This window comes from Homo sapiens, chromosome 14, assembly GCF_000001405.40.
Source record: "Homo sapiens chromosome 14, GRCh38.p14 Primary Assembly".
Taxonomy (NCBI): domain Eukaryota; kingdom Metazoa; phylum Chordata; class Mammalia; order Primates; family Hominidae; genus Homo; species Homo sapiens.
In genome coordinates this window covers 59584167-59611713 of record NC_000014.9, presented here as the reverse complement: position 1 = coordinate 59611713, position 27547 = coordinate 59584167, and the positions used below count along the sequence as shown (strand labels likewise).

The window sequence follows — 27547 nt, the reverse complement described above, 5'->3', positions numbered from 1 at the left end:
AAGTCTCCCAAACCAAGACTCTTCATACTAGTTAGAAAGAACCAACTGAGACCCCCCAAATTGCAAAACAGACACCCTGCAAATGAGGCTACAGACACAGACACCCCATGGTGGAGCTAGAAACAGACACTCCACGATGGGGCTACAGACACCCCCCATAGGCTACATTACCAGTCAGGAGAAGAAAGGAGGCATTGGCAGCACCTAGGATACTCACCAATCTGGACACCCTGCAATGGGGCTACAGACAGACACCCCACCATGGGGCTACAGTCACCCTGTGATAAGGCAACAGTTAAAGGACATCTCCCCAGGACTATTTCTCCATTGCAATTAAATTCATGCACATTGGGTCAGCAGTGCCACGCCAGTAGAAAGAATACCAGAGTCAGCCGCCAGTCCAAGAGAACTAGGAGGCCACTTGGGCTGGCTTCTGGATCCATCACTGGAGGGGGGCCATTGAACCACAGGCAGGTAGCCACAAGGGCAATCCTGGATGAGCCCCCAAATTTGTAACTGCCCAAGGGGTTCACATTGCCCACTGCCTAGACAGAGCTAATTCATCAAGACAGGGGAATTGCAATGGAGAAAGAGTACTTCACACAGAGCCGGCTGTGTGGGAGAACCAAGTTTTGTTATTACTCAAATCAGTCTCTCTGAGCATTCAGGGAGCGGAGTTTTTAAGGATAACTTTGTGGGTGGGGGGAAGCCAGTGAACCAGGAGTGCTGATTGGTCAGAGATGAAATCATAGGGAGTCAAAGCAGTCTTCTTGTGCTCAGTCAATTCCTGGGTGGGGGCCACAAGATCAGATGAGCCTGTTTATTGATCTGAGTGGGGCCAGCTTATTCATCAAGTGCAGGGTCTGCAAAGTATCTCAAGCACTGATCTTAGGAGCAGTTTAGGGAGGGTCAGAATCTTGTAGCCTCCAGCTGCATGACTCCTAAACCATAATTTCTTATCTTGTGGCTAATGTTAGTCCTACAAAGGCAATCTAGTCCCCAGGCAAGAAGGAGGTGTGCTTTGGGAAAGGGCAGTTACCATCTTTGTTTAAACTATAAACTAAATTTCTCCTAAAGTTAGTTGAGCCTATGCCCAGGAATGAACAAGGACAGCTTGGAGGTTAGAAGCAAGAGTTAGTTAATTAGATCTCATTCACTGTCTCAGTCATAATTTTGCAAAGGTGGTTTTACAAGTTTAAAAGTTTAGTTTCCTCACCTGTGACATACCTATATAATGGAGTTTATTCTGAGATTTCAGTGAGATAACATATGAGAGTGCTTTGAACATTTCAGAATCAATGTAAATAGATAATATTGTTGCAAAGTGTCCAGAACCAACAGCCTGTTGTTTTAAGATAACAGTCCTTTTGTTAACCTCCTTATTAGAAACCTCCTGCAATCTTAGCAAGTAATTGAAAGATCTGCTAAGAGACGACCCTACACCAAACTCATGTTACTTAGCTAATGCTTTCTGCCCACAGTTTCTTCAAGGAAAGTCCATGAAGTGCCTGCCATTCACAGACTTCTTGAGCAGGTGGCCTCCTGGTTGGAGATTTAGGAGGCTTCCCTAGAGGGCATGCCATTTCTACCAGGTATAAAGCAATTCATTCAGAGGGGATTCACTTGAAAATAGCAAATTCTATCTTCTCTTTGTCTGAAAACTCCTTTCAGGCTCTTCTGAGCCCCTTCACGTCTCACAAGTGGGTAAGCATCTTCCTTCACACTAAGGAGTGCCCCCTTCAGCACAAATCATTCTGTCTTATAATGTATTTGTTTCCAAATATGTACGAGCATCATAAAACAGATTACCATTTATTTCTTATCCATTTGTGTGAGTGTGTGTTTGTTTTGTATAATTCACTTATTTTTATATCCCCACCTCCAGCACAAAGCCTGGCACTTAGTTCCTGCTCAATAAATGAAAACAGATGTGTAAGAGGTAACACTTCAGTTAGTGGTGATGCTTTAGTTTCCTTTTAATTCCCATTTGCCCCTCCCCTGCACAAAGAGAGTAAATACCTGGAGGCCCCGGACCGTCAAAGACCTTTAGCCCTGCTGCCTTGGCTTTAGACCTTTAGCCTAGGCTTGCCCCAATTTATTGTCTCCAATCCATTCAACCCAGGAGCTGCTGGGCTTCTGTGGAGAGCCCCTTTTCTCCCACTCTGCCCTCTACTCTCAGAGTTCCAGGGGTTTATTGCAGGTCATGTCTTCCAAAAGATCCCTCTTCTCCACCTGAAAAAGATTATGGCTTTTGGTGCTTCATTCTAAACAAACCCTTCTAAAAGAAAAATCATTTGGTGAACTCATTCATGTTTTGTTGTTAAGGACAAGCAAATCTTTAACACATTATTCTATTCTAGCATCTTTGCATCAAAAAAAAAAAAAGAAAAGGATTAGGCCAAATGAATGAATGAATTTTTTTTTTTTTGGAGACAGAGTTTCGCTCTTGTTTCCCAGGCTGAGTGCAATGGTGCCATCTTGGCTCACTACAACCTCTGCCTCCTGGGTTCAAGCGATTCTTCTGCCTCAGCCTCCCGAGTCGCTGGGATTACAGGTGCCTGCCACCATGCCCAGCTACTTTTGTTATTTTTAGTAGAGACGGGGTTTCACCATGTTGGCTGGGCTGGTCTCGAACTCCTGACCTCAGATGATCCACCTGCCTCGGCCTCCCAAAGTGCTGAGATTACAGGCATGAGCCACCATGCCCAGCCCAGAAATGAATTTCTAATGGTCAGACAGTGTGACTGGGGTCAGGATAGGGAGAAGAGAGAGGCTTTAGAGCACAGTACTTTTTTTTTATTTTTTATTTTTGCCTCTGGAAACCTATTTGTAGGACCAGTCCTACTCAAAAGAGAAAAAAAAGATCTGTTTCACCCCCAAAACATGCTTGTGAGCCTCTTCTCTATTTCCTACATGGCAGAAATGTAATAGAGGAAAGGGAACAAATTTTGCCCAACAAAGGTCTGCCTACTGGAGTCTTTCTGAGTTAATGTCCCTGATGGACCAGGTAGTGGTGGTGGGTGGGGAGTTTGTGGGGAGTGAATTCTCTCTCCGGCTTCAGATTGCTGGGAGTATCCTCAGCCTGTTATGAAGGAGACTCTTTTAGACCTGATTTACTCTCCAGCCAGCCTGAGGTAAGTCTGTAGCCAAAGAGAGGGTTAGTACTTTACTCTGCAAAAATTCCTTATGTCACCTCTATTGCCTTGCATTGTCATGAGGGCATGTGACTTTTTCAATATTGTTCTTTCATGCTAATTACACACCCATGTAAAATGGGAGTAGCTCCCTGCTCTCTTCAACCTGATCACTTCTGTCTTCCTATGAGCAAATGACTGGAGTCTAATTCTGTAAACCAGGTGTCTGCAGGTACACTGCAGGTGAAGCTAGCAGTACAAACCACTACCACTTACATTTGGTTGTGAGATGGGAATTTTGCATCTTATTTCTCTTCCTTAAAATTGATTGGCATAGAATTCTATAAAAACCATTTGTCACATACCCAGTTGGAGGGTAAATTTGCATAGATCCTTCAGTAAGGGTTTTATGCTATTTTTTTTTATATCCCGGGACTGGAATATTTAAAGTATTTCCATTTTGCATGACATTTGAAGCACTATGACTACTCTTTTGCATGTAATTTTTTGTTTCTAAGTTGAAGGAGGGTAATAACTGAATGGTGGATGCAATGTAGATTTTAAAGGTTTCATTTCAGATTTTTAAATCACAGAATGTAAGCAAACAAACCATGTTGAACAAAATGGTTTAGTCCACATGTCAGCTCCAGGGGCTCTCTCTCTCTTTTTTTTTTTTTTTAAGACAGAGTCTAACCCTGTCACCCAGGCTGGAGTGCAGTGGAGTGAAGTGGTACTTCACAGAGTCCTCTATATTTTCAAGTTTGTTTCAAAGTCACATAATTCAGGCCACTGTATGGATGGTGTAGCCCACAGAGCTACACCCATCGCGATATGGTCAATGGAGATTCAATAGTCTTTTCTTATATGTGAATTTGTGAATTATCCTCAAGGGTGGAAAAGATTCTTCCAAACCAAAGTGGAATGACAGTAAGTGCCCTTGGCACAGCCATCTGTCTGCTCACTTGTGTTTAGGAATCCAGATGCCAGGTGAGAACCCACAGCAACCACAGCTTGGTGGAGTGAGCCACAGCGGCTCATGTGGCGGCACTGCGGGAGCTCAGCTGGGTGTGTTTGGTGTCTCCTGCAGCTATTGACCTGTTGTATTGGCGGGACATCAAGCAGACGGGCATCGTGTTTGGGAGTTTCCTGCTGCTGCTCTTCTCCCTGACCCAGTTCAGCGTGGTGAGCGTCGTGGCCTACCTGGCCCTGGCCGCACTCTCAGCCACCATCAGTTTCCGCATCTACAAGTCTGTTTTACAAGCAGTGCAGAAAACCGACGAAGGCCACCCTTTCAAGTGAGTGCCTCAGCTGAGGAGCCCTCACCCACTGACCAGGGGCTTTTACCCTCACCTGTATTTCAGCTCACAGATGCACTTGAGTCATGTTTCTCTGAGACCCAACAGACCTCTTAGAGTCTCCCCTAACACCCTGTCTTTGAATATCTAACATTTCTGGTGAATTTCTGAAACAAACTCGATTATTCTTATTCCAATACTTATTGCTTTGTTGAGTTTTCATATGTATTTACTATTAACAGTAATCATAATCCAACAATTACTTAATCCTCTCAGCAATATCAGAAAGGCACAGCAGGCATTTTTGTCCCTATTTACAGGTGGGAACACTGAGGTTCTGAGAAGTGACATGACATGCTCAAGGCCAGGTGGCCAGTAAATAGCACGAAACCAGGACTAGGGTATTTGGGTCTTTATTTCCATGCTTTCTCTAGAAGTTTAACACCAAAGGGCCAACCTTCTGGTGGGGGTGCAGGGTTCATGAACAGTCTTCTCATGTATCCTCCTCTACATTTTTATACTGGGGAAACCTGATTTGAATGCACATTGAAGAGGAGGAAATACAAAAATAAAAGGGCAATCTACTAACTAAGCGGATATATGACATGTGGCAGAGGGAGGTGTTAGCACTGCCAGCTGCTATAACAAAATACCATAGACAGAGTGCTTGTTCTGGAGGCTGGGAAATCCAAGATCAAGGTGCCAGCAGGGTAGGATTCTGTTGAGGGCCCTTGCCTGGGTTGCAGATTGCCAGCTCCTCACTGTGTCCTCACTTTCACTGTGGGACGGAGTGAACAAGCTCCCTTGGGCCTCTTTTCTAAGGGCACTAATCCCATTTGTGAGGGCTGTGCACTCATGACCTAATCACCCCCACAAGGCCCCACCTCCTAACACTATCACATAGGGGGTTAAGATTTCAACATGAATTTGGGGAGGACACATTCAGTCCATAACACTCCTGAAAACTCAAGCCAAATACTGCTTTACTCTTTTTATCTCAATTCACAGGGTTAAGTAAGCACTTAAAGCACTCTAGAAATATCCTCTAGGTAGATAACAGGTGCAGTCTTAGAGCAGAGGGGAGGCAGGAAAGGAGAGAGGAAGGATGGACCTCTGTGGAGGAGCTTGGCCAAGCAGAGGAGGCTTAAGCTGGTATGATATATATATATATATATATATATCATGTTTTTCCCACCCAAGAATTAAATTTAACCATTTGAACTAATGAAAAATGTCATTATTAAAAATACCACTCAGTAGAACCCATAAGTATTTTAATATGGCCCAGGTCACTTGAGTTTTCAATGCTCTTTCTATAAACCTGGAAGTAAATTCTAGAATTTAAACATGAATTCTTAGAGATCTGATGAGGAACAGTTGGCAGCTAGGATTTTGAGCTATCTCAACTACTTAAAAAAAGATAATTTATCTCCATGAAGTCATGTGTGGAGAATTCAGCAAATGAGCTGATTTGGCACTAATTTTTTTTCTCTGGTCCCAGCTGGTTTCTCTGAATTTTCAGCCCACCCATGCTGTGTCTTAGGTAGCCAGAAACAGTCACAATGCTCCACTGAGAACCATGCTTTCTGTGTTCTCAGTGCATGGAAGCAGGTGTGTACGGTGCCCTGTGGCCCTCACTGGCTGGCATAACCCCCCAGAGATGACTCCTGCTCTCACCCTCAGAGTGAGAGTAGGAACGCTTAGCTGTTACTGGGGTTCGGCAGCCTGTCTCATGATTCCCTCTGACGGAATTTTCTGTGGGAATGGTTTGTTGACAGGGCCTACTTGGAGCTTGAGATCACCCTTTCTCAGGAGCAGATTCAGAAGTACACGGACTGCCTGCAGTTCTACGTGAACAGCACACTTAAGGAACTGAGGAGGCTCTTCCTTGTCCAGGACCTGGTGGATTCCTTAAAAGTATAGTTGCTTAAGCTGTTCACTTCACAGTCTTGACTGTTATTTTCCCTAAAGGTGTAATACTGTAAACTGCTACATCAAGAAGAATAAAAAGCAAGTGCTAATTATATTCTAGAGTCAGAAGACCTCCAGTTGTATGGCACCATGAACCAGTCTAATCCCTTCATTGTACCAATGATGAAAATGTGGCTGAGACATTTGTCCAGGGTTGCCCAGTGAGTCACTGGCAGAGCTGGAATCAAACCCAGGTCACATAGCTTCTAGCTCTATAGTCTTTACAACACACCAGATTGTCTCCTTAAACCATTTTTAGTTCCTCCGACAATTTCCCAAAATTAATATTAAGATAAAAAATCTAGATAGGGAATGTGAAAACCATATATACTTTTGCATTGAAGGAAACTCTAGATTCTACTAATATTAATAGTAAGCCCTCCAAGTGTGCTTATGTAGTTACAGCTCTGAGGCTAGAGGTATGCCCAGCCTCTCACTTGATGAGGATCAGGGGCACCTGGGGCTCTCACTGAATTTGCTGGGTTCCTTTGAATAAGTTGCTTTGGCCTCCTGGTGACTTACACGTGGAATCAAAGTTAGTCAATCGTGATTCGGCATGGTCATAAGCAGAGCTGGGGAAGCCCAGACAAGGTAGTTGTGAAGTTTCTGTGCTCTCACAGCACTTTATACACACCCTGGCAGGGGCTTGTACTGGGAGCTGTCTGGTAACTGTTCAAAGAAGGGCAGAAGGAAAAGTGAAAAATGTGGTCTTGACCCTCAAAATGCTTTACTGGAATAATGACTTGCCATATAATGACTGAAGAGAGATACCAGGGCAATTATAATTACTTACCTTAGTGCTTTTAAGGCCATGGTTGTATTTGTAATGTAAAAATTGTGGGCCAGAACAGGGGTCAGCAAACCTTGTCCGTAAAGAGACAGATGGTAGATACTTTAGGCTTTGCAAGCCACACCATCTGTGGCACCTTTTCAACTTTGCCATTGTAGCACAAAAGCAGAAAAAGACAGTACAAAAAGGAAGGGCTTGACTGTGTGCCCATAAGACTTCTGAACACTAAAAATTTGATTCAATATCATTTCATATATTAGAAAATATTAATCTTGTTTTGATTTTATTTGAACATTTAAAAATGTAAAAACCTTTATTAACTCGTGGGCCTATGCAAAAACCGGTCAAGGGCCACAGCTTCGTAGATTATTATTTCCTTGAGTCCCTCAAACCTTATAACAAAGTGATCCAAATAGTTCCAAGAGAACTAAGGACTGGATCCTCTTTCATTGATTCTGTGATGAGCTTTCAACGCCTTTCATTGACTATCGAAATCATGATGTATTCTGACTCAAATTCAAATCTAGGTAAAAGTCAATGATATGAGACTCTAACTTGTCAGGAAGGGTTTTAGGAGCTCTAATAATGCTTTCGTTCTTCAGTTTGCAGTCCTGATGTGGCTCCTGACCTACGTTGGCGCTCTCTTCAATGGCCTGACCCTGCTGCTCATGGGTAAGAGCAGATAAGACTGTATACGTCTTCCTTCACCCCCTCTGTGAAAACGCTGCTTCCTAGGCTGTAAGCTTTTTGTTTGTTTAAAGAGATTCCTAGGAACAAATGCCAGATATCCCTGAGTGCAGAGCACTTCTCTTACCATCATAGTTCAATTAAAGAGTATAATATATATTATACACTAATAATGAATTCCTAAGTCTAAAGGGTTTTTTTTCTTCAAACATAACTGGCTTCTTTCTGGCTTGTAATATATATATTTGGATCAATATATATATTTGGATCTGTTTACAGTGGCAGCTATGGATGGATTCATTTTCATCTTGGGAGGGGAGAGTTTATCCTAATTCTAGGAATAATTACAAAATACCTGTACAGGGCTCAGCATCATTTTATTTTCCCTATGAACTGCCCTGTCATCTTTTATCTAGAATGCTGGATATTGCTTCTCAAAATAGGGAATAAAAAATAAAATAAAATGCTGTATATTCCAAATAATGCTATAATATCATATAACCATATAAAAATGTGTCTATAAGCGTATTCTTATTGATAACTCAGAATTTTAATACTATATTTGTTTTTCATCCCAGCTGTGGTTTCAATGTTTACTCTACCTGTAGTGTATGTTAAGCACCAGGTAAGTTCTATGTGATGTCAAAAAATGGCATTGAATTTTGACCTCATCATCTTTGGATATGCTCATTATTTTTTTTTTCTTTATGTAGGCACAGATTGACCAATATCTGGGACTTGTGAGGACTCACATAAATGCTGTTGTGGCAAAGTAAGTCACATAGTGCAATGCATAAAAGGAGAGACTCTCTTACATCAGCATTTGAGTGGATTAGGATAGGGGTAATGAGAAGATAGTAAAATGATAGATTGATTTATGGTCATTCACTTACTGGAATCATATATTCATTCTCTTCTCAATTATGTTATTTTAGAAAATAAGCATAAGTTTTTAAACTCTCAATTAAATTAAACCCAGTGGTTTATTCAGGTTTCATAATAAGTTTTAATGAATGCATGATATTAAGCTCTAAGGACTGGCCCATGTACAAGAACAAGATGCATTGGAGGAAAGAAGGAAACTTGATTCAAAAAAGTAAAATTAACAGTTTAATTCAAATAAAAACAAGTTAACATTTTTAATCTTTTAAACAATGAATAGCACTAATTTTTTAAAAATCATTTAAATTACTTTTAAAACTTTGAATTATTTTTAGAACTTTAAAATACATAAAATGTTTGCCAACTAAATACATCACACCATTTTAACTCGACAACTGTGTGTATGTGTTTAATACCACTGCTTTTTAAACCTGAGTCTTCAGCCTTACTTTATGGCTCCCTTATATATTAGGAGATAGAGATTTCAGTTTTACATACCCATAGCTAACATGATCATTAAACTTAGGAGTTTTCCCTAATTCTTACATTACTATTTTTAGGTATGTAGTCATCTAAAGTGATAGCTCTTATATTGCATTATTATTCAATATTTTGTTTTATTAAAAAGCTAGCCTAATCTTTAACTATAAATATATTTCACCAAAGGACTAGACTTTTTCACAAAAACTCTATCTAATTATCTGATAATAATGTGGCTGGACCTAGGTGAGGGTCAGATTTAGAGAGAGGCATTTTAGGTAGTTAAAGATGTGTAATAACAAAATAAGAAAGGCCAATCACATTAAAGTTCCTCTGCTCTTAGATTATATGTGATGTGCTTCAGTTCCCTCTGAAGTTTATAAACTTTTGTTTTTTACTGTGTATTATTTACATTTGTCCTCTTAAAGTCATTAGGAACTCATAGGGTTCTATGTTGAATTTGGATCTTTGAGAGATCTACAACACATTTCAAAATGCCTGAACGTATCAGCTTGGACCCAGGTGTAACCAATACCTAATGAAAATCAACACATTAAGCATAAAATAATCATTTTATTTTGTATTAAGAAATGGTATCATAGCACAGTATGAGACTTGGTGGTACCCGAACCTGAGGAGCCTGTTTAAAAATACAAATGCTAAGACTCCACACAGACCTATAGAATTAGAATGTCTAGGATTGGTAACCTGGAATGTATATTTTAATGAACTCTTCAGGTGACTTTTTGGCAACTAGAACTGTGTTCATAAACTATAGCAAAGAATACCAGAATAGGAGTTTGGAAACTGGAAGATAGAAGTTCTAGACCTAAGTTGTCCAATACTTAGTTTGAGTATCACAAATCATACCTATTACTTTTTCATTTGGTTTGTTGGTTGAGTCCAAAAAGAGGAGTACCTGTTATGTTCTGGACACTTCATATGATAGGTACAGAGGGTATAAAGATAAATGAAATGATCTCAGCCCTAAAAGAGCTCTTAGCCCAGTGGTGCAGACAAAATTATACAGAAATAACTATAATAAAATATAATAAGTACAGTAGAGCTATATGAAATACTAAAGTCAGAGAGATGAGGAAACAATTGTTCCTTCCTGGACAGGATAGTGGAAAGCCATTAAGATAAGGTGGCATTCAACCTGGGCCTTGAAGGATGGGTAAACAGTCATCACGTGGATGATAAGGGGAAAGACGTTGCAAGAGGAAGAGGTAATAAAGCAAAGACAGAGAAGCATGAAAATGTAAGTCATGTTTAATAGGCAACAGTCAACCAGTATGTCTAGAGCTTAACTGAGTCGAAAGATCAACTGGAAAGAATGTAGGAAGAGAGGCTGAGGCCAGGTGGTGAATGCTCTGTGGAGTTTTGATTCCAACCCAGCAGGAAATGGCCACCCCTTGATGTTTTTAAGCAGGGGATTGATATCATCAGATTTATGTTTTTTAAAGATCACTATGGCAGTCTAGTGAGAAAAGAATTGGAGAGGGGAGAGACTAGAGATGTGGCCATCAGCTAGGAGGTTATCATAATTCAAATAAAAGTGACAAGGGCATGGCCTGGTTAAAATGGAGGGAAAAGAGAGATGGCAGAGAATATAAAGTATATACAATGTACTTGTTAAATTACAATTGGAAATCAATGCTGTGAAAAGGAATGGAAAGGAAATGTTACCTATGACTAATATGGCTTCTGTAATTGAGCTTCAGGCAGAGTTGGCTCTGAATTTCCTGGTAGCTAGGACAAAAAGAGAAACTAGGCAAGTCACATGGTTCTCACTATCTATCAGAGAGGAGGAAACAACAATTCTTCCAAATAACCTGTTTTGCCTGGCACTACATTTTGAAGGAAATTTCTTGGTGGGATCTTAACTCTAAGTCCTCTTCAACCTCTGAAATTGTAATTCCACCTTAGAATAAATAATTCCAGCAAAAGAACTTACACCACTTTAGTGGTACAGTTAAGAACATGATTGTTAGAATCAGACAGACTGAGTCCATTTCTGGCATTTTTAGCTGTATGAGCTCATCATAAATGTTATTTGACTCTATGAGCCTATTTCCTTATCTGTAAATTGGAAATGTTAATACCACACAGGGTTCTTGGTGATTAAATGAGGTAATGTCTGTAAAGTATTCTTACTTGGATGTAGGAAACCCTCAATATTATATATCATTGTCATCATCATCATCATCATCCGATTACTGCTTAGAGATCGGTTCATGGGGCTTGGAGGTAGAGGACAGTCCCAGATTGGGCCAGTAGACACCAGGGCCAGTCTCTCCTCCATACTGAGTGACCCTGTCTAGGTCGTTTCACCTTTGTTTGTCTCAGTTTTCCAGCTTAAAATAGGGGTTAATAATGCATAATAACACTTCTTAGAGTTTTGAAAATGAGGAAAAAAGCCTCAAATTTCAAAAGGCAAAATAAACACTGTAGAGGAAATTAAAGCTTCGAGTAAGTGAGACCATAATAAGAAATCTGCTTTAAGTGAATACAATTCCCTATGTCTAGGTGAGTTATGTTTTAGAATGACAAAGTAGCTTGTAATTTTACCTAGAAGCTCTCTTGGTGACCTTTGATAAATCTCATGGAATAAAGGACATCCTGAAAACTCAAATTGGAAAGGAGCTGTCACGATCTTCAAATGAGAAGAAAGAAAGATTCTAGATGTTATATTTGATAAACTGAAGGCCTAATTTCAAGCAAAAATCCAGAATGAATTAGTAAAACTGTAGATACTCAGAATAGATCAGTGTATCTTCACTAAACCCTGAGATGAGATGGACTTCCCTAGCCAGTGAGTATTCTGATTTTAGTGGGGGTAGTCAGCAAGTCTTCTTGGTGTCCTTGTGGAAAAAAATGGAGATGTATGATCCAGATGATAGCACAGGTGGTAGAATTCTAGAAGATTGAAATAATAGACCCTAAAGATGTTCATTAATCCATCCAATATGTGTCTGGGCCAAGGTATGTGACACAGGGCTCTGCCTTTGATCCCATTACTTTCAACCCCATTACTTCTCATGACTATGTGAAGACAAATCAAATATCTTTGTCAAAGTTCCAGATGATGTACAGTTTGAAGCAAAAGCAAATTCAGAAGATGGCAAGCTCAAGATTCAAAATGAATCAAGGGATCTTGAGTAAGCGAGAATGCCGAATTGAAATCAATAAAATGAAATTAATAAGGAAAGTGAAGTCCTACATTTAGGTTTCTAAAAAGTCAACTTTACAGATATAGAATGCGGCGAGGGATAGATGAGAGAGGGTAACAATAAGGGTGTATGTAAAAAATACCTCGGGGGTTTTAATTGCTTGATTGGTCACAGCCAAATGTGAGTCAATGATGTGCTGAAGCATCTTTAAAAAATCAATGCAAGTTGAGTTGTTATTAGTAGGAGTACAAAGTCTAAATCAACATAGGCAACAGTCATATTATATTCCATATTGGCCATCCCATATCTGTGTTCAATTTCAGGGTTGGACATTTTAACAGATGCATTAATACATTGGAGTAATGCCACAAAGATGACCAGGGTACTGTGGTATTAGAAATCTGATAGTAATGGGCAGTGAAGAGCAAACTTTGCTGGGGATGATTACCCTGGAAAATAGATGACTTTAAAAGGACACCATAGCCATTCTCAAATACTTGGAGGTCTAACATTGCTAAAGGAGTAGGATTTCCCTTTTTCTCTCAAGAGCAGTGAATGGAAATTTTAGAAGTTCTGAGATTTGAATGAAATATGAGGGAAAAGAGTAATGATTAGAGTTGCTCAATAATAGAACCATCTGCCCCATGAAGGAGTGAGTACCCTGACATTCATTCAAGTATTCAAATAGAAGTTAGATGGTCACCATTGCACATGTCCTCTGCTGGCACCTCTTCCTCTTGTCCAACTCCCTTCTGGTCCTGTGACCCTAAAGGTTATCTCATGTCTAGGGCTGCAAACTTGTGTCTCCAGCCCAGACCTCTTCAACTAAGCACCAGGTCTATCCACTTATTTATGTAAGGTTTCTCTAAAGTGTCTGATAGACCTTTCAGATTCACTTAGCCACACATCGTGCAATCTCACCCCAGAACTTGTATTTCCTTCAGTTATCACAATCTTGGTAAATGGCATTTTCACCTGGTTCCTCAGGCTAAAAACCAAAGAATCTTCCTTGATTACTCTTCTTCTAATCCTAGCCTATGCATTCAGTTTATCAACAGATCAAGTGGGTCCTGCAGCCTCATCTCTAAACTAACCCTGAGACTGTTCCCCTCTCTTCATTTCCATGTCTACCATACAATCCAGGCATTGCCTTCGGGTACTTGGACTGCTGTGGGTTTCTCTCCCTCTGTTCATTGCTTCTACTCTCATTTCCCAATTTTTTTTTTACACAGCCACCATCATGATCTTCTTACAACATTAATCAGATCACGTCACTCCCCTGCCTAAATTCATCAATGGTTTCCCATCACACAGGGTAGAATCTAAACTCCTCACCGCATCCCACAAACTCCAACACCCACCATCTGGTCCCTGCCTGCCTTTCAGACCTCCCCTGTCCATACCCCAAGCAAACGGGCTTCTCATCTCCTTGCCGCCAGCTTGTCCTCTCTGTGATGCCTCTGCACTCATTACTCCCTCTGCCTGAAACACTTCACATCCAGATCTTTGCCTGATGGTCCCTTCCTGTCCTCTGAGGATCAGTTTCTCAGATGAGTGGATTTAAAAGAGGTGGTACACACCTTACCACTGTGCCCCTCACTGCCTGCCATACCACCTTGTTTTTCTTTATAGCAGTTATCACCATCTAAACTTCTCTTGTCTTCTAGTTTATTTCTGTCTCCTCAATTCCTACAGGAATGAAAACTCCATGAGAGCAAGCATCTCCTCCCTTTTGTTGACCACTGAATTCCAGTACATGGAAGGGTACCTCATGGCACAGAGGGAGGTCTCAATCAAAATCTGCACGATAAGCTCATAAATCTTCAAATTAACAAAACACTTCCAGTGTAAACCTGTCCGAAAATCATGCTGCTACATTGTGAGCATCACAGAATTTCAGGACCCTGGAGATATCTAGTCTATGCCCACATTTTAATGAGTATTTAGGACCAGAAAAGTCCCTTAGCTTGCCGGATGCCACACAGCTAATTAATAGAATAGCTGAGACTAGGACCCAGCTTTTTAAATTCCAGTTGTGGGTAATTAGACTACTCTGAGGGTGAACATAGGTTCCTTTTCCTATGTCCAACATAGGAACAGATTATATCCCTAGTTATATAACCATCCCTACTTATGCTCATCTTCCTGGCATAGTCAGTAATAGCACTTTCTCTCTCTTTCTGAAGTGTCCCAGATGGGGGATAAATAATCACCCTAACTATATCACAGTTTCTGTAATCCTGAAATAAGTCAATATGTTCCTCCACCTAAAAAGATCTAAAAAATGTGGCTTTCTTCCAATTCTCTTTTTTGTTGCTGTTATTTTCATTATCCAGTTTTTACTTCCTTCTTATTGCTTTATAGAAGAGTATTTGCAGATGTACTTACATAAAGACTATAATATCTTCTGGAATATTAAGTTCTTTGGTCACTTAGCTAATTAAAGCAACAACACATAAAATGATTTCATTAATAACACTTGTGATTTACTACCTTTTGATACTGTCTTTTTAGGATTCAGGCTAAAATCCCAGGCGCTAAGAGGCATGCTGAGTAAACTGATTTCCCACCGGGGACTGGACACAAACAGGAATGTCTGGAGTGGTAACAGCTCTCTTCTTACTCATTACTGCAAATTGATTGTCTTTCCCCCCTCCCTCCAGTACCATAATCTTAGAGACAAACCTTAAAACAGCTGTTTTTAGGCTGTTCCTTGTACTCTTAGGATATTTGAGTCACTTGTGTCAACCACTAAAGTATAGAGAAAAGTGTATTAGATGTGGTTTTTAATTTTGTGTTGCTAAAAAAAGTGCATGATGGTGAGAGCCCAAGTTATCTTTCCCTCTTCGGTGTTCTTCTTCTCTTCTCTGCAATGCTTCTGTAGCTTCTAATGTTCCCCGTGGCTAGGCCTTTCCTGCCGAGTGCTCTGATGCAATAGTGGAAATCGCTTATATGTCCTTGGGTTGCTGGTTGGATTAATCTTTAATAACAATATATAGAATTGTAGACTGATGTTTTAGCATTTTTCCAACACACACAACGTAAAAATAAAAGCAGTCGACCGCACTTATGGTAATCAGTTTTGTATAACTTAAAATAATTAAATAAATGAATAAATCCAAAACAAACATGCAGTACTTTTGTTGTATGGGATTGGTGGGCTGATTTACATGTATGGTTACTAAAAAGTACCAGCATGTTAACTTTATTACAATTTGTATTACTTTCTCTGTAGTTCCTAATGGATTCAATTACGGACTCTGGATATTTGCACTTATGTACTTGATACTGAATGCATAAATAAATGTTACTAAATGTAGAATGTTCTCCCTCTCTTCTCATGCATGGTCTTACCAGAAAACACAAAAGCTCGAAGTGATGAAGTCACTCGATGACATTCTAGGAGGGCTGAGAGCAAATGCTCACCTTATTTCTCTCTAGGACTGTGGAGTCAAACTGCAACCTGGCTTACGGTTTTTCTGGGTCATTAATAGAAAACTGAAAAGTGGTAAACTGTCAATCACTCTTCATATTGTACTCTGTCAGGTGGATGCAGATATTTAAGATAGTTTTTAAAAACTTGAAAGTGATATAAATTCTTACATAAACTGTACGGCAATATGCAACAAAACACTGGCAAAAACAATTGTAATTGCCATGAACTCACCGTTTTAGTAATTACTTATTAAGCACTGACTGTGTGCCAAGCACTTAGAATAGGGCTGTGAATAAGAAAGATGACAATTCCTGCCCTCACCATGTGAAGTCTTCTAATAATTCCTCACTGCTTTTTATACAAGTCCAATTGCATATTTTGTTTCACTGCTACAATCAAACATCAAAGACGAAGAGGTAGAAGTGAATGAAAGGAGTAGCAGTTGGAGAAAAAAAGGAATGATTGCTTATAAAAAGCTGCCTTTTACCAGTTTTACACCTGGGTTCAGTGAATATTTGTGGAGTTATCCTTCTATACAAAGTGGCGTGAAGGTTACAAGGGTCACTTGGCACTGTGCCAACAGCCAGAAACTCTCATCACTGTGCTGGGGAAAGGGCAGGTGGCTATGTGGAAATGCCAACTGAGCAAAGGGTAGCATAAAACAAGAGCCATTGGCAGGGCGCGGTGGCTCACGCCTGTAACCCCAGCACTTTGGGAGGCTGAGGCAGGAGGATCACGAGGTCAGGAGTTCAAGACCAGCCTGATCAACATGGTGAAACCCTGTCTCTACTAAAAATACAAAAATTAGCTGGGTGTGGTGGCACCTGCCTGTAATCCCAGCTACTTAGGAGGCTGAGGCAGGAGAATCGCTTGAAACTGGGAGGCGGAGGTTGCAGTGAGCTGACATCACACCACTGCACTCCAGCCTGGGCAACAGAGCGAGACTTTGTCTCCAAAAAAAAAAAAACGAGCCATGATGCAGGGTTTGAGCAACAGAAGATTCTCAGGGGAGGTGAACTTCACGGCTGGGTCCTGGTTTGGTTTTTGCCACATGAAGAAGGTCCAGCCCGAGATAAAGAAAGAACATGAGCTAAAGTGCCAAGATGTGGAGTGTGAGGCATATGCAGAGAATGGTGAGTTAAACAAGCTTAGATGGGTTGTAAAGTTCTTGGGGTGGGAATGATAGTGCCAGATAAAGCTGGAAAGGTGGGTTGAGATCACAATGGGAAGAAACTTGGATGCCTGTGCCAAGGAGTTTGGGCTTTATTCTCTACATCTCAGAGAGTCACATAGACACAACAAAGGTACAAGATACTGAAGGCTAGACAAATAGAGTGATAATTGTAACCTAACTCCACCCAGGTGCCAAATGACTAGGTCTTTACTAGAACAGCCACAGAAAGAATAGAAAGATGTTCACCTGTCCCTGATCCTTGATAGCCCAGCATGCCAAGCACCCACCATGGATAAGGTGCAGCTAACAGATGATGTGGAGGGAGATTGGACTGGAGCTGGTAACCAACTAGCTGCGGGGCTTCAAGATGAAAGCTGGCCTTGAGAATGAGTGCCTCCTTGAATTTTGCACCCAAGGAAGCTCGGTTGCCTCACCCTAGCCCAGCACTAAGACTCGCTGATCAGCAGGATGCAATGCCATTTTCCAGGACAGAGAGCCCAGAAGAGATTATTTGGGGAAAGAAGATACTAAGCTTAGTTTGGTGCCTGATTTTTTTTTTAATGGTTACTAGATTTAGAAGAGGATTTTCTTTTTTCTTTATGTTTTTCAGCCTCCAACCTTTTAGACAAAGTTTCTTCTACATGGCTTTATTGTATAGAATTAATCTTCAATATCTGTATCTGCAACATTGTCCTCATACTATAGACCCAGAATTCCTCTCACAGGCAGCTGCTCATTAGGAAGGTCTAATTAGGAACTCTCTTTGCTGGCAGTGGTGGAGAAGTTTCCTAAGGAAACTCCAGGCTTCCAAAATAGTAGGTATGGATGTAGATTTTTCACAAATGGAACATGGGGCACATTATACCCTGTTTCTACAGGGAGCATCAGCCCAGGTGATATTCAAGATGATGGAAATAATGTGAACAGATGAGAAGAGGACCAAGAGCAGAGCCCCTGGAAAATCCAGAGTGAGTGAGGTGATTCTGAAAGCTGTGAACAGTAGAAAATTCTTACAGCCCATATATGGATGAGTGAAAGCAGTAAGAGCAAATGAAGAAGCTGCAGTATTCTAACGGATAAAGCATGATAGTTTCTATGTCCTCTGCTCTTTCCCCACCCATGTTAGTTTCCTAGGGTTACTCTACAAAAGTATCAAAATCTGGGGTTTTTTTTTTTTTTAAACTCTCAGGCTGGAGTGAAGTGGCACAATCTCAGTTCACTGCAACCTCCACCTCCTGGATTCAAGTGATTCTCCTGCCTCAGCCTCCCAAGCAGCTGGGATTACAGGCGCGTGCCACCACACCCAGCTAATTTTTATATTTTTAGTAGAGATAGGGTTTCATCATGTTGGTCAGGCTGGTCTCAAACGCCTGACCTCAAGTGATCCACCATCTCAGCCTCCTCCCAAAGTGCTAGGATTACCGGGTGTGAGCCATCAGGCCCAGCCTCAAAATCTGGGTTTCCTAAAACAACATAAATTTATTCTGTCACTGTTCTGGAGGTTAGAAGTCCAAAATCAAGGTGTTGGCAGGGCCCTGCTCTCTTTTTCGGCTCTAAGGGAGAACACTTCCTTGCCTCTTCTAATGTCTGCATTTGTCAGCCATCCTTGGTGCTCCCGGCTTGCAGATGGGATACTCCAGTCACTGGGTGCCGCTTCCCTGTGTCATATTGTCTTCCCTCTGTGTCCAAATTTCCCCTTTGAATAAGGACACCAGTCGTAGTGGAATAGGGCCCACCCTAAGGACCTCATTTTAACTTGATTATCTCTATAAAGACCCTGTTTCCAGTAAGGTCACATTTCTGAGGTACAGGGGTTTGGGGCTTCAACATATCTGGTTTAAGGGTGGTGCACAGTTCCACCTGACACTACCTCAGGGCTCATATGGTCCCTTACCCTATTATAAAGACTTCCTCCTGGTGTAGATCCCAAACCTATCTCTGCATTTTGTTTCTCTCTCTAGGGAATCACTGCTGAGAAGTAGTCCCACAGCTTTCTACCTCACCCAAATGCACGTGGGGTGTGGTTGATTGCTGGGCCTTGCTTCACAGCTGTGAGGTTCCAGCAATCACCACATTGTCCTTGAATAGGGCTGCTCTGAGCATCAGAAGGTTAGCACTCTCTTCTGTGTGCAGAGAAGCACGTAGGGGAGACAGAGGAGCCACCACTGGAGCTCATACCAAATGCGTTCGTAGTTGGAGGGGGACTAAGTCCCCTCTGCTGATCCAGGCAGAAGGGCCACCTGCCTTCAGACGCTGACCGGCTTCCCTAGTGCTTGATGTTGGCACCCTCCTCAAGCTCCTTAATCAGATTTTTATTGTATAATTTTATTTTTGTGGTTTATTTTATGATTTTAAATTTTCCTTAATTCAATACATTTAATATTAAATTCTATGTTACAAAATCAGTCTGGCTGGCCACATTTTCTTTGATGAGTACATTGAAATGAATTAATTTGCATTCTAGACCATTATTGTCTTTGAAAGCAATTCTGCTAGAATCAGCTGTCTCTGGTTTCTTGTGGCAGACTGCCACAATTGCTACTTGAGACTATCACTATGACAGTTACTACTGTTACTACTTGAGACCATCATTACGAGACTGAATGAAGGGGGATGAACGTAGAAATAATAACAAAAAAACAAAAGAAACTGTTTTAAAGGAAGGTGCCAGGGGAAGAAGAAGAGGGCTCCCTGCTTCTAGTGAGCAAGGGCAGCAGCCCTGAGCTTATACAGCCCTTCGTATTTATTGGGTAGGAAGAGCAGGGAGGAGGAGCTAACGATTGGTCAGCTGCTTGATTGATGACAGGTGCATATTATTGCTAACAGGCTTTGGATTTGCCTAATCATAAGAAACACTTGTGCCTGGGTCATGTCTGCCCTCAGCATTCCTTCTGGGTGGCAGATGCAGTTTGTGAGTTTGCCAACATTCTGCATTTATGAGAACAGTTTGCTGTTTACTCATACAGCCTCCAGTGGTATACTGAGTTGATCACAACCCTCACACTTTCGGCCTGCAACAGTTTCTCCCTAAAATGATAAAATGGTCCTGAAGAATTAACACTTCATCTTGGCCTGCTTTCTCTAAACATACAACTGCTCTGGATTTTGCTTTGTATGTTTATGTCTTTATAAAACAAGAGAAGTCATCACTAAATTATGACAGGAGTCAAATTCTTAAGTGACTAATGGCAGCCTATGTCAAAATAATACTCAAAAATTAAACAGTTCATATGAAGGGTAACTTTTTTTCAACCTTTATTTCTAGCCATCTCTAACAGAAATAAGGTAGCCAAATATAATGGACGAGACATTAACCTTTTTTAAAAAAATATTCAAACATTTTAAGTAACTAGCATTTTGTAACAAAACAATCACATTGAATTATATCTTCCCCAAAGTGATTTTTTCATGATGCATTTGACATGTCAGAATCAAGATATTTAAGACTGCTTTCTTAAATGTATTATTAAAATTAAATTTAACTTGTCTTTTAATAAAATATGGTTTTAGCATCTCCCAGCCATTTTTCTAGTACTTAATAAGCTCAATGGAGGAAATGCTTATGTTTGGCTTATGAATCAAGGTGAAGGTAAAATGTACTTTGTCAAAATTCAAGTAGTGAATAGATAATTCTCTTTTTTGTCTTTGTTCCCTTGACTTATAAATCCAGGGCCAGTCAATAAAAAGGGTGTGTGTGTCATGGAGACAGAGAGAAATGAACAGGGAAGAACATACGAAATGGGGTACACAGATTTGCCTCCAGCTTTCTGGAGCAGTGCTTCATCTTTTCAGCAGAACATTCTGGAGGAATACCTGGCCAGTCCTCACCCACAGTGCCTCTCCAAAGCTCTACACTTCCCTAAGACATGTTCCTGGAATGCTTTTACATCCCTGTGGTTCAAGAGGCACATGCAACCACGTGGAAGCCCACTGCGCTTCAAGCTCCCACTTCTCCCCTATCAGGGAAGCTTCCCACTGGGAGTAGAGTGTGAATGTATACCCCTTCAGTGGAGATGGTTCAGAAGCCAGCTTTGCAAGCAAAGAATTTCTTTAATCACATATTTCATCTTAGAAGTTAATGTGAACTTGTCTGTCATTGCATAAGACCTTTGCATTTACCTTAATTTAAAAATTCTTCCCCATACTTCTGCATTAAGTTGACTCAAGGAGAATATACCATGTTTTTCTTTTTACACCAAGTAACCCTAGTTTGAGATACGTGGTCTTCAGTGCTCAAGATGCCACGAAGGCAGTTTTGGCTGGGAGATGAAATAGATTTTGACCCTTGAAAGGGGGCTGCATCATGACAGCAGACTTGGGAAGACCATGCTGCATCTTAGCCAATCTTGGCTTTCTTCCTCTCAGAAACTCTGTGAGTGTCTGTCCTCCAGAAAGGCAGGTGAGGCCCTTACTTCCAATTAGCTAGCAACAATAAACGAAGGATTTTATTATCAAATCTTTATAACATTATCAGGGATATTCCCAAAGGTGTACAGACAATGTTTTTTACAATAGCAAATATTGAAAACAATCCTAACATGCCAAGTATCAAGCAATTGAATAAGTAAATTATAGACCTTCTAATGAAAGACCATATAGCCACTTAAATCATCTTGGGGAATGATATTCTGGCATGGAAAATTGTTCACAATATAGCACCGAGTGAAGAAGGTAAGCTACAAAAATAATATGAAATGCACAGGGAAACATTAATCTGTAAAATGAAATCAACATAGAAAATATGAGGGCATACAACAAATATTGAATGTAATTATCTTTCCTCAGGGAAGACTTTGAAAGATCATCCTTTCTCTTTGTGTGTGTGCTTTTTAAGGTTTTAGATTGTTTACATTTTATCTGTGGTGTCTTTTTCTCATTTTTTAAAAATTGAAATATTGTTCCAAACCCCATACCTATCAAAACCAAAGCTATGAAAATGAGTGAAAAATCACCCCCCAGTAAATATTATTCTCTCATTTGGGCCCATTTTTGTTCAAATCAAAATTTAGATTTTTCTTACTTGCATCTCTGGTTCATACCTGCACCCATGCCTTTCTCTTTGCTGCTAATAGGTAAACTAACTGGTGGGTGTCAAAGGAGAATGGAATTTATATGTTTCAAAGCAAAGTTTATTCTCTTAACATTGTTGATTTGCTTTATATAACTAATAATTGTTCTAATTTCTTTCTGCCTTATTTATTTATTTATTTATTTATTTATTTATTTTGAGACAGAGTCTCACTCTGTCCCCCAGGCTGGAGTACAGTGGCACAATCTTGTGCCACTTGTGGAGTACAGTGGCTCACTGTAACCTCTGCCTCCCAGGTTCAAGCAATTGTCTGCCTTAGCCTCCTGAGTAGCTGGGATTACAGGCACCCGCCACCACACCTGGCTAATTTTTTGTATTTTTAGTAGAGATGTGGTTTCACCATCTTGGCCAGGCTGGTCTTGAACTCCTGACCTCATGATCCACCCGCCTTGGCCTCCCAAAGTGCTGGCAGGTGTGAGCCACCGCACCCAGCTGCCATTGTTGTTTTTAAATTAAGTTTTTTATTTTTTTCAATAACAGAAGTAATATATATTAATTACAGAATATTTAAATGATGCAGATTCTCCTATTCAAAGAAAACCACCATTGGCATTTTGGGATAAAGCCTTTTTTTCCCTAGACATTTAAAAATAATTGAATTCTTATTATCTATATAATTTTTGAATTCTGCCTTTAAATTTAAAATAACAAATATATTTCATATACATTTTTCTATGGTATCTTTCTTACTCAAAATAATGTATTAGATTTCTCAAACACACTGGATGTTTTTAAGGTATCAAAACTTTTAAATATAGGGGAAACATTCTAAGAATAAGTTCTCTTTTTTCTTATATTATCAAATTTGCTACCAGTTCTTGAATTATGATCTGCTAATTGCCCTTCATGTTTCTATTTGACCAGTCCTCTTATTTATAACCAAAATTTAAGAAAATGATAAAAATACTAATATTTGTGCTATGGATATATCTCAAGTCTTTCATTTTACTTAGTAATATTACATTTTAATTTAGTATGGTATTTGAAAGACTTTTAAAGCCCAAAACTCCTCTCAAATGAAACATGACAGCTTATAACCATAAAAGGCACTGTGCTGTTTACATTTATTATTTCATTTCATCTTCAAATTAGGCCTATAGAAAGAGGTATACCATTTTATATATAAATGAACTCCTAGTTCAAATCTTGCCTAAGATCAGTATTAAAGACAGAGGTTTGGATTTGAGAATGTTATTCAATCACATTTTATCTCTAAGTTGCAAGTCAATTGAGAACCATGCCAAGGAACCGGCTGAATGAAGATCAGATGACCAGTTCTGCTACTGATAAAGTTGCTTAACTATGGCCAGAGTGAGGCTTCCTGTGATTTCTATTCCCTCAACACCAAGTGAGGATGTGCACCTTACCCCTGCACTGGACAGAGCTCACAATACAAGGAAGCAGAGCAGCAGTGAGTCTGGGGGGCAGGCCAGGCCGACAGGGAGAGAGCAGATGAGGCCAGGCTTCCTCAGTTCCCTCTCCAATATCACGCTTCTTCCTTTGAGAAGAATGAAGAAAGGGTAGAGGGAAGATACAAGTTTTGCCACCATTTGTTTTCCTCTTGGGAATGGATTGGAAGTACCTGTGTCCCATAGACAGAGTAGATTTCAATCCAGGTCTTTTTATACCAAAAGCCAATAGACTTTACTTACAACAGCCAACAATGATGACAAGACCTATTTATTCATTAAAATGTGCCATCTATGAGGACTATTAGGCAACACCTTTAAAAATATAGTTTGGAGTCTATATTGTCCTTAAAAAGAAACAAAACTGAATTTTTCTCTATTAATTTTTGTGAATGCAATCCATCAATCAGAGCCTAGCAGGTAACAGCACACTCAAAAGAGTAATTGAATGGAGTTTAATGAAAAAGTAGGGCAGAGTTTAGGAAGACGAACAAGAGATGATGCGGTGCCTGTGGTCTAGCAAGAGTGGGAGCCTCTACCACCCTTACACCTGAAGGGACAAAAGGAGGGAATGCACACTTAAACCAGAGAAAGTAGCCAGGGCCTCCTGACAGGAGCTGAGGTTCAGAGGAAGGCTGCAGCCAGCCTTCCATGAAGGTTACAGGGAGAAAGCCCAAGCAATAAACAACCTTTTCACTCTTCTTACAGCCGTCTCAGACACAGGCTCTCCATTCAAAAAGTTACTTTGAAAATTTAAAAATTAAATACTACCACTCAGTTTGGTAGGGTGTTTTCTCTCCTCCATCAGGGCATACACTTGTCAGAAACTACTATGTTGTCTGTATTTTCTTTCTGATACTACTCACATATTGAGGGCTCAGTACAAATATAGCACCTCAGCATGTAAATTCGTATAAGGACAAGTTGCTCAGCAATGACTATGATGCATCTAGTCTGAGATAACTATTAAATAGGCAGTATTGTTATTTTTTCATGGGGCATTCATAAGAATATCCAGAAACTCCGTAGTACTCATTCCATCCAATAAATATGTTTGAAATACTCCTAACTTGAAAATTTTAAACTCTTAAATTTTTCTCAAAGAGAACTTACCACACCATAATCTCTCAGTGGCAAATCGATCCTGTCTACCTTTTTGCTCAATAGAATATATAGTTCATTGTTTTCTTTTCTTCCCCTAAGTAGGAAAGAACATTCAAATGCTTGCTACCACAAAATATATTCCCAATAGAATAAATGGAGTTTTCTTTAGGGACCTTTATATCATGGTAGTTTATCTGTATGAGCCCTTCTGTGCCCCCAGTTTATGATAGAATTGTAACCTCCATTGGGAAGAATAGCGCTAAGCCAAGGGCATCCTCTTCTGGCTGTTACAGAATTTCTTACTAGATAAAATGCACTTACTTTTTTCCCCTTTTTACAAAACTTTACTTTCATTTTCATTTTGCTCTTTAATTCTTTATTTGGGTATTATATTACATATATCTAGCCAATTAACTAATTATATAGTTCAGCTACTTGATATATTAGTCAATAAGGTTATTTTGAGGCTATCAGGATAAAATTTCCTAGGAATTGTATAGCATCATTGAGCCAGGGACTGTGCCAGGCTCTTTACAAACATTATTTCTAACCTTCAGAAGTTCAAAATTCTACATGATTGGTACTTTTATTTTTATTTTCCAAGTGAGGAAACAAAATCTCAACGTAACTGGCGCAAGTTTCCACAGCCAGTAAATGAGACCTGATTGTCTGTTTTTGAAGCTGGGCTCTTTCCGCTGAGCCATACTGCCTTTCTAGTGTTTCCTGGCCCCTCTCCCTACTGTCTCTAGCTCAGGAACAACACTTTCTCAGCGCGACTATTTGGTTGCAAGTAATAGAAACCCACTAAAGTATATTAACCATAAATGGGCATTTACTGGAAGAACACAACAAAATCCAAAGGCTTAACTGCAGGGGATGGAGTATTTTTCTCAACACACAATTTTGCTGCTTTGACCTTTGTGGTTAAAGACGGAAGTGCTTAAATCCAGGCATTACCTAACAATCCTGCCATGAATAGAGGAAGAAAAGAAAGCACGCAAATCTTAAGCAGCTTTATATAATGACTTAATTTTATATACACATTCATCCTGAGCCAGAATACACATCTACATTGCAACAGGAAAAGCAGCCGTAACAGTTGGAGTCATGGTGACAATTCATTCCGTAACTCCGGAAGCTCATTTATCCAGCAGAGCTGAGAATCAGGAGTTCTCATTAACTAAAATCACAGTTAACTAAGATTTACCTCTTTAAAAATAGTAATTAGGCAATAATTCTGGTGCCATAAAATTTACTTAGAAGCAACCTTTATGCACAATGTAATCTGATGATTCAAAATGTCCTTCAGCATCTTGTAATGGTAATGATCAGGAAGACCATTGCGAATGTCAGTTCTTGCCATACTGGCCTGGATACAAGAGTGGTGTGAAAGACCCTGTGGAAGTTGCTTTTTTCCCTAGTATTTTTTTCTTTCCAATACTAGGCCTGAACTGCAGAAGATATTAAGCCCTATACTTTTTAAAATTCTGAACACATGAATCTTTTCTATTATGTTTTCAACAATATTGTAAATATCTATTATGTGCAAATGACTGTACTAGGTGCTGCAAGAGATGCAGATTTATGGTATGGCTTATTTTGCTCCAAGCATTGTTTTAAACATTTTAACTATGTTAATTGATTTAATTCTCATGATTATCCTACAATGAAGGCCCAGTTTTACAGACAAGAAAATTGAGGCATAAAGTTTATAAAGATATTAAGTAAGAAGGCTATTACACAGAAAACCATAAATCCACTCAGCCTGTGATAACTATCACCTATGAAAAGTTTGAACAAAGTGCTTTGAAAACTCAGAGATTATTGGGATAATAAGAGGTAGAGAAACCATCTGCAATGCAGACTTTGAGTTTGAACAGGCTGAAATTTTACATGCTTGCAGCATAGCCAAGTGAGAATATTTACTCTTCGAGGTTAACACTTAGGGGAGAAGATGGGCAGGAGATGCAACTCGAGAGTTATTTGTGAAGATTTACCTCTATGCGAGAGGAGAGTTTAGAGAGTATAAAAAGACCAGGATGGAGCCCAAGGAGAATGCCCCCTTTTAGCAAACAGAAGAAAGAAAACAAGGGAGCCAGTGAAGGATGTGAAGAAGGAATAACCAGAATGAGAAAAGTAGAATGGCACAGTGTCTTGGGAACCAATTAGGAGTGAGTTTCTAAAGAAGCGTTGAGGGAGCTGGGCGAGGGTGTCAGATTCTGCAGGAAAGAAGACGGAGTTGAATGAGGCTTGAGCAAAGGCAATTAGAAGATGAGGAGGAGGCATTTTAGAATGCAGAGTAAAAGGATGCATTACAGCCAAGATGTAGACCACACTTTTAAGAAGTCTGGCAATGAAGGGAAGCAGGGGGATTCCATGGCAGGGGGGTTTATGAGAGGCCTAGGTTTAGTAAGAGAACACTGGGCTGGAGGTCTGAGGAACACTTGGAAGACCTAGGTGAGCAGGAGCTCATTGAGGAAGGTCCCTGAGGAGATGGGAGAGAATGGGAGTGATAGCTGCAATTATTTATGTGTATTTTTACTTTCCCTAAAGAGCTCCGGAAATTCTTACCTGCATCCACATATGGAGGTCATTCAGTGACATTTTTAAATTAATAAAAAAGAAAAAAGAAAAAAGACAGATTTTTAAATCATATGTAGAGTTTAGCTACTCCAACAATCTTACTGAATCATCTTGAGATGAATCATCAAATACACTTTTTAAAAATAAGAACAAAAATAAGGAAAATAAGAATATTGCTACTTAAAGATCACAGTGTTGGAATTGTCTGTGAAAATGCTAAATGAGCATTTAAAAAAATAATCATTGCTACAAAGATGGCCCCTGAAACGTAATTTAAGATAACAATGATAAAATGAAATAAGGTACCTTTGCTAAATATGGCATTGGTTGTTTCAGGCCT

The 27547-nt window shown here is 39.9% G+C and overlaps 1 protein-coding gene across 3 annotated transcripts in view; it reads left to right on the top strand.

Annotated features, from left to right (window-relative positions):
- RTN1 (reticulon 1) overlaps nt 1-15738 on the top strand; it is a 274801-nt gene extending 259063 nt beyond the window's left edge. For 2 of the 3 annotated variants that reach the window (NM_021136.3, NM_206852.3), the window contains 6 exons: nt 4222-4429; nt 6208-6346; nt 7793-7862; nt 8456-8502; nt 8591-8649; nt 14927-15731. In NM_021136.3, the coding sequence (NP_066959.1) occupies nt 4222-4429; nt 6208-6346; nt 7793-7862; nt 8456-8502; nt 8591-8649; nt 14927-14969 (566 nt within the window). In that variant the 3' untranslated portion in view covers nt 14970-15731. 3 annotated transcript variants of the gene reach the window in all.